Source organism: Homo sapiens, chromosome 8 (assembly GCF_000001405.40).
Source record: "Homo sapiens chromosome 8, GRCh38.p14 Primary Assembly".
In the NCBI taxonomy this organism is placed as follows: domain Eukaryota; kingdom Metazoa; phylum Chordata; class Mammalia; order Primates; family Hominidae; genus Homo; species Homo sapiens.
In genome coordinates this window covers 1,056,538-1,068,792 of record NC_000008.11, presented here as the reverse complement: position 1 = coordinate 1,068,792, position 12,255 = coordinate 1,056,538, and the positions used below count along the sequence as shown (strand labels likewise).

The 12,255-nt window shown below is 50.3% G+C and overlaps 1 protein-coding gene across 2 annotated transcripts in view, besides 4 other annotated features; it reads right to left on the bottom strand.

The window, feature by feature from the left end:
* Positions 1–12,255, bottom strand: part of DLGAP2 (DLG associated protein 2) — a 970,849-nt gene that overhangs the window by 639,684 nt on the left and 318,910 nt on the right. The window lies entirely within an intron of this gene.
* Positions 1,435–1,959: an enhancer, noted in NCBI's record as "H3K4me1 hESC enhancer chr8:1016834-1017358 (GRCh37/hg19 assembly coordinates)". NCBI's record gives its function as "activates a minimal SCP1, AML or CMV promoter by ChIP-STARR-seq in naive H9 embryonic stem cells {active_cell/tissue: H9 hESC(naive)}" and the evidence as "EXISTENCE:reporter gene assay evidence [ECO:0000049][PMID:30033119]".
* Positions 6,405–7,261: an enhancer, noted in NCBI's record as "H3K4me1 hESC enhancer chr8:1011532-1012388 (GRCh37/hg19 assembly coordinates)". NCBI's record gives its function as "activates a minimal SCP1, AML or CMV promoter by ChIP-STARR-seq in primed H9 embryonic stem cells {active_cell/tissue: H9 hESC(primed)}" and the evidence as "EXISTENCE:reporter gene assay evidence [ECO:0000049][PMID:30033119]".
* Positions 10,036–10,666: an enhancer, noted in NCBI's record as "H3K4me1 hESC enhancer chr8:1008127-1008757 (GRCh37/hg19 assembly coordinates)". NCBI's record gives its function as "activates a minimal SCP1, AML or CMV promoter by ChIP-STARR-seq in naive H9 embryonic stem cells {active_cell/tissue: H9 hESC(naive)}" and the evidence as "EXISTENCE:reporter gene assay evidence [ECO:0000049][PMID:30033119]".
* Positions 10,667–11,298: an enhancer, noted in NCBI's record as "NANOG-H3K4me1 hESC enhancer chr8:1007495-1008126 (GRCh37/hg19 assembly coordinates)". NCBI's record gives its function as "activates a minimal SCP1, AML or CMV promoter by ChIP-STARR-seq in naive H9 embryonic stem cells {active_cell/tissue: H9 hESC(naive)}" and the evidence as "EXISTENCE:reporter gene assay evidence [ECO:0000049][PMID:30033119]".

Sequence of the window (12,255 nt, the reverse complement as noted above, 5' to 3'; positions counted from 1 at the left end):
CTCACAGGAAAGCACTTGGGGAGGGGCCCATGACCCCAGGCATATCCCGGACCCACATGCGCTGAGCCCCTGCTGTGCAGCCCTTCCCTCCCTCTGTCCCACATGCGCTGAGCCCCTGCTGTGCAGCACTTCCCTCCCTCCGTCCTTGTTCCCTCATCTCCCCGCTCCTGTGCGTCCATCCTTTCCCTCCTCCTCACATAGCAGCAAAATAACAGCACAGGATGCACAGATAGAGCCACTGCTAGCCACCGGGACAGCCTTAGTCCCCACCGGGGAAGCCTCAGACCTCCCTGCACACCACTGAGCAAGGCCAAAACCCAGCACAGACAGCCTCAAGCGCCGCTGAGGACGTGGATGAACAGGAACTCTTATCCACTGTGGGGGGTGAACAACGCAGCTGCGTTGGAAGACATTTTGGTGGTTTCTTACAAAACTAAGCACATGCTTGTCATACAATCCAACAATTGCATGCCTTCATATTTACCCAGATGAGCTGGAAACTTACATCCACACGAAAGCCTGCACACAGATGTTTATGGCAGCTTCATTCATCATTCCCTAAACTCAGAAGCAACTGAGATGCCCCTCATAAGGGAACAGATAAACTATGAGCATTCAGACAGTGGAATAGCACTCACTGCTAAAAAGAAATAAGCAGCTAAGCCAGGAAAAGACACGAAGGCACCGTAAATGCACATTACAAAGTGAACGAAGCCCATTTGAAAAGGCTGTGCACTGTGGTTCCCATCAAATAAATGATGTTCTGGAAAAGGCAAAACTATAGAGATAGTCAATGGTCCTGTGTTTGCCAAGGGTTCATGAGGAGGGAGGGAGGAGTGGGCGGAGCAGAGGGGATTTTTAGGACAGAGAAACTCCTCTGTGGGCTGCTGTAATGGGGGGGTGTGTCGTCATCAAACACCTGCCCAAACCTGTGCAGTGACAATGCCAAGAGTGAGCCGAGGTGAACCACGGACTCCGGGTGAGGATGACGTGTCGTGTTGGTCCATCAGCTGCACTAAATGCACAGCTCTGGAGGGGACTGGGTCACGAGGGAGGGCGTGGGTGGGGCAGGGGCCATATGGGAACTGTCTGCACTTTCCACTTAATTTTGCTGGGTACCTAAAACTGTGCTAAAAATATTAAGTCACACACACACACACACACACACACACACACACACACACACACGTCACTCAACCACCTGAGTCTTGGTTTTCCCATCTGGAAAATGGGCATGGAAATGGTTGCCCAGGCGTGCGTGGGCCGGGCATAGCCCCGTGTGGAGGACGGCACGGCTGAGACAGTCTTCCCACACGGGCTTCCTCAGCGTGGCCCCCTCCCAGGAAGCCTCTGACCTCCCAAGTACACTCAGGAGCCTGCAGCTTCCCAGGCACCAGGTGATGCTCCTACAGGCAGGGCCCCTGCTGGGTAGGCACCACAGCGGGAACACCAACAGGTCAGAAAACCCAAAGCAAAAGCGCTAGGAGGGTAGAACCTCCTGACCAGAGCATACCCTTCAGCCTTCTCAGTCTCTCCTTGAAGAACAGGGAGGAAGCCCAGGAACTGGGGGTCAGATGGGACTTGGATCCAGGCCAGCAGCACGAGGTACAGGGCACATGGACAACGTGGCCACAGCCCTGGTCACAGAAGAATGGGAAGATCACAGAGGGGGCTGTGCGGAGAGGCTGGGTCAGAGCCACCCACCCACCTGGGATCAGACGGAACCTGAAGGAGGGAAGGAGACCAACCCCTCTCTGCAGCAAACCAAACACCACCAGTCAGAGTCGGGCATCAGGGGGGCCCAGGCAGCTTGGGCTGGGGATGCGGCAGAAGCCACTGGGCCGCCTGCTGCGACCAGGAAGCCCCTGAGGTCCGAGGCAATGGGTATCGTGGGCTCTGACGGTGACTTAAGAAGAAATTGGGACTGAGACTATACTGGGCCGCAGCTCTCCCACGTCCCATCAGGGTCTTTTTCACCATGAAGACCTGCCCTACAAGCACAGCTTTGCCATCCAGACAGCAGGGACGGAGGTGCCGCGTGTGGAGGCCAAGGACAAAGACAGGCCAGTCGTGGTGGAGCTGCCCTCCTCACTCAGACTTGACCATGGTGGGGAACTGTCCTCACTCAGACCTGCCCATGGTGGGGAACTGTCCTCACTCAGACCTGACCGTGGTGGGGAGCTGCCCTCACTCAGACCTGACCATGGTGGGGAGCTGCCCTCACTCAGACCTGACCGTGGTAGGGAACTGCCCTCACTCAGACCTGACCGTGGTGGGGAACTGTCCTCACTCAGACCTGACCGTGGTGGGGCTCTGTCCTCATGTCCTCACCCAGACCTGCCCAAGGTGGGGAGCTGCCCTCACTCAGACCTGACCGTGGTGGGGAACTGTCCTCACTCAGACCTGATCCTGGTGGGGAACTGTCCTCACTCAGACCTGACCGTGGTGAGGAGCTGCCCTCGCTCAGACCTGCCCATGGTGGGGAGCTGTCCTCGCTCAGACCTGACCGTGGTGGGGAGCTGTCCTCGCTCAGACCTGACCGTGGTGGGGAGCTGCCCTCGCTCAGACCTGACCATGGTGGAGAACTGTCCTCACTCAGACCTGACCGTGGTGGGGAACTGTCCTCGCTCATACCTGACTGTGGTGGGGAGCTGTCCTCGCTCAGACCTGACCGTGGTGGGGAGCTGCCCTCACTCAGACCTGACCGTTGTGGGGAACTGTCCTCGCTCAGACCTGCCCCACAAGCCAGCGAGCGGACCTAGCCCCAGCAACTGCACAGCCTGGACACCACCACGACGTGGCCACGCTCAGGCTGGACAGTGTCCAGCTCGGCAGTGTCTCCTCTGAGGGCTCCTGACACTCAAGTCAGGCCCAGAGCATTCTCCCCACAGACCACGCGGGAGAATGACAACTCGAAAGCAAATAGCTAGGAAAGATTTCCCGGAATTCCTGGGACCCAGGCCATCCCTACAGACAGACCATCCTACAGAACTATTTGGGGGCTTCGACAGTCAGGATTCTGTCTCTGAACTGCCCCCACAAGGAGCAAACGATGTACTTAAATGGGATAACCAGAAGTGCCGACGTTCAGCACAGATGAATCTCAGGAGAGTATCGAATTGGAAGGAAGACGAGCATAAAAGTCTCTGATGATCCCATAAGAAAGGAAGCACACGGGCATCTTTTAAACATTTCATAATTAACAATGTCATTCTTAAGGCACAGAGCCACATTTTACAGAGGTCACTGGTTTAGAGGATGTTGTACTCCCCAACCACAGAGTTACAAGCAAAACGCTCCGTGTTGTGTGATAAGAGACAGAAACTGTCGACTCCAGCATGAATATGTGCTTTCAGTCTCTACTGAATACAGTGCTGTTTTAACAAAGATGTGTGGTCAGGAAAGTCATTTCACAATAACTGTTCTCTAAATGAAAATGTGATGACTTTTTTCCTGATGCTAGTCATATGAAAAATGCGAATTTTACTGCCAGTTGTTATCTTGAAATAATCTTGAATAAAATCATGACCTAATAATCAAATTCCTGGCAATGGCTGTATCTTTAAAAAGACCTTACTGAGTCAGAGGTTTAGACACAGCTTCAGCGAACACTGGGTTGTGTGCACAGAAGCTCAGGGGTGAATAACTCTGTATTTTAAACTGAGAGAGTGAATAAAGGCAGGCGCCCTGGTGCGTGGAGACATATTTTCTCAGAAATCCCCTGGGCACGCTGTTTGGTGGGTGGGAATCAGCCACTGTGTGGAGGTGTCTGGCTGTATCTCCAGACTCACACAGCAACAAACTGTGAATGCACAGCATGCCTTTCAAACCACCTTTCTACACCTCTCATGATACCGCAATGCTCTTCCATGCACCCACCCTTCACTGTTCCTTAAACGGATTCTCCACATTAGGTGTGTGCAGGGGCCAGGTGTGTGCATGTCAGGGTGGAGGGGGGTGAAACGGACCACGCTTGTCTTCCTAATAAGCATTTGTCCCTCTGCCGCATGCAGCAGGATAAAAGGAGAGAGGAAATACTCACTTAAAATGTTATATATAATTGGCAGAGCTTAATTTTTATGTGTTGACTACGTGGAGAGGTCACATTCAGCCCGTGTTGACAGCGAATATTTTAGAGAATGTCAAATTTACTAAAGACCTCCTTGTTGAAGAAAAAAGAAAGCCATCAAATTAAATAGTGTTTAAGTAAAACAGATATTGCCTTAGAAAACAACAACTGCAGGTGGTTTTGAGGTTATCAATGCCAGTTAAATAACATTTGAGTGGATGTCATTAATGCTGGTTTGAAGTTATTAATGCATTTGGTTTGAAGTTATTAATGCTGGTGAAATCACATTTGTTATATATCCATCAAATATACAACATCCCCAAACAGCACCCTGGTTTGGTTGTATGAAACAGGTTGCCTGACATATTTGAGGAATTGTGTGTACCTCTTGCAGCTATATTTTTCCAATCTGAACACTGTATATACACACAACTTATTTTCTGGTTATCCAGTTTTGTTTTAACCATAAATAAGTTGACTTGGCTTAAAAAAGCAATATTCATTACTTGCAGGTACTTACTGTTGAGTAATTGTTGCAAATTGGGAGCAAGAATTAAACTTAGTAAAATAGTCCCACACCGCCCCACCAGCCATTGGATTGTCCCCATGACCTAAAGCTTTCCCATAGCTGCAGTTGTTCCCAGTGAAACTCTCTGCCCTGGGCTGCAAACCCCGTTAAAGGCTGGCATCTCCTAACTGCTCTTCTGGAGAACCATGTCATCCTGCGTATAAATGTATGAATGGCATGCATGGCAGACGACCCTGGCTGCGGAGGCCAGCACTTGTTGCTAAACAGCAAGTGTGATTCACCAAGCTGGAGAGAGTCCCACTGACTTGCTCTGCTTCATGAGCAAATTAAAGGCCACAACAGACACCATTTTAACACTAAACCTCCGTGTGGAGAGGCACCGAGCTCTGGGAACAAAATTATGAATGAAATAGTCGATACCCACCTAAATATGCACAAACCAATAACATCTTCCTATTGGCCATGCTCAGTCCTGTACAGAGTATAACATTTTAATGTAAGATATTTTGGTCATTGATAACAGGAACTTTTAAAGCTAGCAATTACCTAGATGCCTAAGCTAATACATCCTTTTACTGACATTCTATTTCATCAGAAAGAGGCTAGACAATACCATTTAAAGAGGTGCATATTTTTGCACGAGGTAAAGCAAAAGCAAAAAAAAAAAAAAAAAGCCAGTATACTAAGGCAAGAAGCACGAAAAGAAAAACCCTCCCAAAACACACTGGACCATCGTCTTGTGGATTGCACAGGTGCCCGTCACTTGTTACAAAGTTCCCCACTGCTAAGGCCCTTTGTGGACGGTACAACCCCGAGACCTCGGGGATCGCAGAGACCCTTGTCAAAATGTGTGCACTCAGAAGCATGCTTCCTCTAAAATCTCAGCAATTCCCATCACACTTAAAACACTGTCTCTTCAGACAGAACAGAGGACAGTCCACTTGGTCAGCTAAATCTTGGAATCTCTGCTTTTGAAGAGGTTGTTGGTCTTAATGACAAATATATGGCAGCACTTTGCGGCGTATCAGTCAAACATCTTCCCTCTTTTCTTTTTATCCTATTTAATGCAGCTGATAAGAGGCACCCAATCTTTCACTGCACTCAGCATTACAAAGGAAGCCGTTTCCACAGGCTTCTCACTCCATTGCTTGCATAGAAAAACACAGGTCTTAATAGCTGCAGGTCCCTGGATTTACTCATTCCCAAAGGAGTACTGAAACCAGCAGCCCGGCTGCTGCATCTTTGCTATAGCAAATGGAGAATAAGCTGGAACAGCTCCTGCGTTACAAATTGCTCCAGTACTCGGTGATTATTGGGAAAATGGTTATAGCTGAAGACTGAACTTGCCTCCTTAGAATTACAGCACCGTAGTTCTGGACAGCTGTGCAAGAGCTTTTCCCCCAAAGCCTCCTGGCAATTAAGATGCTCCCTGGATTACAGTCATACTAGTCTCCCCCCAACTACCCCCAGCTGCTATCACAACGACTATCAAGAGATGAGTGCTTTACTTATAAGAAAGGCAAGACCTATGGCCAGGAGGGAGGGAGGGCAAGGGAAAAACATGCTGCAAAGTATCGAGGGAAAGCGGCTATTGGGATTAACTAGTTGAGTGCTACCAGCTGGCTACTGTCTACCTGATGCCACCGCACCAGGGGAAGTGGACGTTCCAGGTACAGAAAGTCAGAAATGAGTCATCCTTGACTTACCGAGGAGAGCCTCCTGCCACTCCGTCTGCAGCATCCAAACGCCGAGCGCAGGAGGCGTCTGGGTGGACGGGGAGACCTACACTCAGGGAAGCTTCCACATCCTTGCGAGAGAAGCAGGCCAAGACGACCGAGTGTGCCTCCGAGGCTCCAGTCAGCCACAGCCCGGACCAGGCTGCCACGGAGCTCTGCAAACCAGGCACTGCAGCAGCGTGGCAGGCACAGGACTGCGATGCATGGCCCATATAGTCAAGCATAATAGAAAACATGGATCTGGAGTCGACTCCATGTGGATGTGGGGGCTGCTTGGTGCAGAGCAGGAGAGGCAAGCTCCTTCCTTGTAACAGAGTTAGCCATGGAGATGGACACTTTAATTACCATGCACGGCTCTCCTCCAGGATATCAATTACAGAAAGCAGGTGCCTCTATCTCCTGTTTTTTTTTTTCAGATAAATGTCTATAATCTCATTTCACAAATGATCCCTATTTAGACAGGAGCCACCTATTGTGATGATATCATTTGCTCTAGTAGCCATAAATGGGCAACTTCCTAGGGAGCGTCACAGTGCTGACGACATGGGTCTTTATAAGAGTGAGTGGGCAGGGTGCTCGGAGGGGCCCCGTCCACACAGAGCAGCTCCTCCCAGCGACGTCTCGTGCTCCCTGGTGTCTGAAAAGTTACAGAGGAGGAGGAAAGCCCTCCACGGAAATGGCTCAGTGCAACCTCCGAGAAAGTCCTCACCGGGGAGGGAGAGGGAAGGGAAGCAGTGTGGAGCTCGCTGATTCTGTAGCACAACGTGCCACTCACCTGGGCCCCGGCTCCCTGGAAAACACCACAGGGACGCTCGCTCTCTGTGACAGCAACAGTTTGGGGCGTTTCTGCTGCTGCTGCTCTTGGGAGTAGCGAGACTCCAGCTCTGCTCCACCCGAGTCCACACACGTCTTACCCCAAACAAAATACATGGCTGGAGGGGGGGATGCAAATAAGAAGGGGTCACGGGATCCTTCCACAGCTCATGGGCTGCAGAGTTATAACTGTAAATTCTAACTGGCAGCGTGGTTTTCCCTCAACGAACACGTGGATGAGCCGATGAGCTGGGACTCATTTCTACACACATTTCAGCTTCCACACCGCCCAGGCCTACAAAGAAAGCTGATGGTAGAAACCACAGTTGGGCCTACATTGGAGAGAGTAAGGCAGGTGTTCGGGCATATTTTCATCATAAAATCTTCTAAAATTTCCCCGCAACTATTCCAGTGACCCAAAGAGTTCACGAGGGATGGGCGACGATTCCACAGAATGGCTCACCACGAACAAGGCTGGCTGGCAAAGGACAGCGCCAGGTCTACCAAATCAGATGAGAATCTTCCTGGAAAACAGACCTGGTGGATGGGTTCTTCATGCTGGAAAGGTGTAGGGTGCATCAGGGAATTCGTTCCTCTGCCCACGTGGGGGAACTGCCATGGTTGCCCAACATAGAGAAGTATCCATGGTTCACCAATGCCTGTGTTTATTACACAACATCGAAATATCAACACATTGAAGGCTGGGAGACACACTCAGAATGCAAGTAAGTCTCCCTTCCCTAAGATCCCTTGACTGTGAGGGGGCAGAGCCCACCTCCTCTTCCTCAACAGCATCCCAGGCTGCCCTGGCTGTGGCCTCCTGCCTCCTCCCAGGCCCACAGGGAGGTCAGCATGTGGAACCCGCAGGCCCCTCTCTGAGGAAAAGGCAGCCCACAGGATGCCCTGAAATGTGGGGCAGTCATTCAGTGAGGACACCACCATCACCAGGAGTTACGGGATGAACATCATCCCCCAAAATGTAGGGCCACTGGGATCTTCAGAATGTGATCTTACTCGGGAATGAGGTCTTTACGGATGTGATTAATTAAGGACCTTGAGGTGAGGTCATCCTGGATTAGAGCAGGCCCTAAATCTGATGACAGGCATCCTTTTAAGAAGAGACGCTCAGGACACAGAGACCCACAGAGAGAGGGGGCCGTGTGAAGCAGGGGCAGGGGTCGGTGACGCGCTTCCATGGGCCTGGATCACCAAGGACACAGCAAGGACACAGCGGAGGGACCAACGCCCTCAGGGCCTCCAGAGGGAGCCCGCCTTGGGAGGGTATCTATCCACAAGCACTCAGCGGAGGGACCAACGCCCTCAGGGCCTCCAGAGGGAGCCCGCCTTGGGAGGGGATCTATCCACAAGCACTCACCACCTTGGTTTCGGGCTTCTGGCCTCCAGAACTGCGAGACAGTACATTTCTGTTACCTTCAGCCACCCAGTCTGTGGTCTTCATGACGGTGGCCACGGGAAACGGATGCAGCCACGCACGCCCTGAGGCTTTTCCAAGCACCCACTCCGTGGTTCACATCTGACCCTGGGAACAGTTCGCATCTGACCCTGTGGAGGAACTTGAAGCCCCAGACTCAGGTCCTGAGATTCCACTTCCAGTTCACCCAGCCATCCCAGCGACCACTTGCTTGCTGTCAAGACGTCCCAGCTACCATTTTTCTGGCCCTCTGGAGCCCACTCATACTTCAAAACCACCAGCTGTGAATACCCCCGATCCATGCCCCCGGGGCCACACAGAATGCGATTTGCATCGCGACCGCCCCCGACTCTCTGCACTGCCCCATATGGTCGGTCCCACTGCCTGGCTGCCTTCCCAAGAGGCGTGTCTCTGTCTGTCCTGGTGGTTCCTGCGGTCACCACTGCGCCTGCACAGACGTGGAATTCCCTCACCTGCCTCACGCCCCTCAGCCTTCCCACAGCAAAGAGGGCGCCTTGGTCCAAGGAGGCTGACCACAGCATATCTACCCACAAGCATTCACCAGGCATTTGTGAAGTGGTGGGGACACAGGAGGGAGCAAACCAGAACAAAAGCCATGAACACACCCCTGCCTCCGGGAAGCTCACAGCCTAATGGAGGGGAGGCAATGGGCACTGAACAGCCCACACTCGCCACACACCACGTGCTCTGCTCATTCAATCCTCTTGCAGCCCGAGGCTGGAGCTCCTGGGGTCTCTGTCTCATGGAGGGAGAAACTGAGGCACAGAGCTGAGGGAGGAGCCCAAGCCTTCGGGCTCAGGAGTGCGGCTCCAGAGCTGTGTTCCTAAGGAATATGCCACCCCTCATGCCTTCTCCACGGAGAAGGCAGGGAGAGTCCATACCCAGGGGATGCAGGGGTCCCAGGAGGCCCTCGGGGATGGAGTATGCTGGGACCCCGAGGGGTGAGTGGGCAGGGGATGAGGCCCAGCTGGTGATGGAGCCTCTCCCTATAAGTGAAGCCAAGAGGATCCAGGGCCCAAAGAGAGCTGTCACAGAGCCCCAGAGCAGAGAGCAGCACTGCTGGCTTTAGGACTCCCACTGGACACAGAGAGATGGGCGAACCTGAGGTTTACCCATGGACACATGGACACATGGGGGGAGCCCTGGAGACTTCCGTTTATGTCTTCTCAGAAGCAGACGCTGCTATGGCCAACATCCAGCCCAAGGTACAGCCCTGAGATGCTAAATAAAGGTTTGCTGAATTGCATTCCACCTCAAGCTTCTAACACCAGTTTTGATGAGGTCTTTTGAGGTAGGCACAGGTGGGTGTGGCCATCAAGGGCAACGAGCACGCACAGGTGTCCAGGAACTCACATGAAGTCACACCACAAGGTGTTTCCTGATTCCTAATCCAATAATCTGGGGTGGGCCTCAAATATCACTTTTAAGATCACTTGATCTTTGTAGCTTGTCCATATAATATAAGGCCAATCTGTCTTAAGAGGTGACAACCACAACTCTAATTTACCAACCACATACATGACAACAGGTTAAACAACCTACTTGGTAGATGGCTAGAAACTTGGATTTTAACCAGCCGTGATGAGCCAGGCTTCCCCCTGCTCCCTCCAAGTTGATCTCCTCTTTGCCAACACAGTGCTCCCCATTGCTGAACCACATTAGCCAGCTACGTTGTTGCATGGCCCCTCGAGGCTGACCTGAGAATGGGTGCATGGGCAGGTATTAGAAGCCACCCTTAGAGTTCTATTGATGATTGAACTGGACGATGCAAAACTTTGAACCCATATCACACCGCATCTCACAGCAGAGCATGGCCTGCAGCAGTCAGGTCGCCCGTCGGAGCCGTGGCAGGTGCTGGGTTCCTACAGAAATTCGGGCTTATTCTCTCAGTGCCAAGTGAGTGATTATCTATTTGTAAAGCAACATCTCCAAAAGAAGGTCTTTAGCAAAATGCTGAAATCAAGACTCACTGCTAGTCAATCCGGCCACACCCCCAGACCCGCCGCTAGTCAATCCGGCCGCGCCCCCAGACCCGCCGCTAGTCAATCCAGCCAAGCCCCCTGTGGGAATACACTCGCATGCAACCCCACGTGATCCTCACTCGGGGAATTTGGCAGAGCAGGGTAATATCTTTTCTTCTCAAAACTGTTAAGTTCACCAGAAGCAGACTATTGATAGAATGTTTTCCCATAATCTTAGGTTCATGTAGAGCCACAAATAAAGCAAAACAAGTTTTCTTGTTTATGCAGCTTGATGTCTCTGGGTCCTAATGTAAAATGAAGGATTTAAGAACTGGAAAATAAGAGCCAGAAATGCAACCTCTTTTTTTTTTATTTCTCCAGCCTTAAACATCAAAGCTTCAACAAGTACTTTGTTTTGCTACATTGAACTAAAGATTATCTCCCTTTTGTTCTCTTGGTAACACATTTTAACCTCTGGTGTTAGTATCAATGAACATAGTCACAATTCTCAAAGATGAAAGGCCACAAGCTGTTCGCAAACAAATCTAATTCAGAGAAAATTACACCGGAGGTTTTCTTGTTTGCCTGGTCCCTGCTTACATTCTCCAGAAAGACTTTGTCGGTGTTTAGAATAGAGGTTTCTAATCTTCTTCCATAGATAGACATAAGAAATCAAGAGATAGCACAGCCAGTAAGTTAGAGAGACAACAAACGAAGAGCTGAATTCTTAGGCAATGCCATTTATATCCATAGAAGGAAAGAATTATCAATTAAAGACTTAGCCCTTGTGTGCATAACCCTAATGTGAATAATGATTTAGTAAAATGGAAAATACGTGCAGCATTTGAATGTTTGGATTAACATGAACTGTATGTAATTCAAATTTTCCTGTGTTAAAACTCCTGTTTCTTAATAACCTGTTAATACAGATGGCTAACTTCAATGTAGGTAATTAAATTTACCTGTGCTAAAACTCCTGTTTCTTAATAACCTATGTTAATACAGGCAGCTAACTTCTACGTGTAGTAACCGATGCATATCTCAAGGGAACTGTGTGTCCTAGGGTAAAAAGTATTCTCACACTGAAAGGTTTCACAGGTTTCAAAGGTAAAACTCTGCAGTAATAATTTTACAACTCATTTTCATGCAGAAAAATATGTATCTCACAGTAGTTCCTCAAACTGCGGGTGTGGATTATTCTGGTGGGTCCATGAGTTCTTGGGGTTAACGAAAACTAACGAACACGGTCTGTCTCTGTCTCTTCGAGGTGATTTATCGTTAGGAAATTCTCACCTCCCTATTTGGGTTGTATTCACCAGAAAATGCAGGTAGAGGATTAAGGGGGAAATGCTATTTACTAAGTTACCTACCAGGTACAATTAGAAATTCAGGGGCACAGTTGCATGTACTCATTGCAGCTGGTCTGATGTAAGTGCTGGAATTCCCATTTTACAACTGAAGAAACTGAGATCAAAATTAAGAAACTTCTGGAGCGATGATCTGGCAGGGTCAGAATTCAAATCCAGCTCAGTCTGACTCCAGAGCTGATGCTGACAGCAGCACAGTGCTAACGCATCCCTGTATAAATCCACATTTTGGCACGGGTGTGCCGGTGTCCTGGCACCTTTCAACCGGAGCTGTGTTTCATTACACACATTTTGGAAGTCATTAGTTGGAGTCCTGCTGGCTTAGGG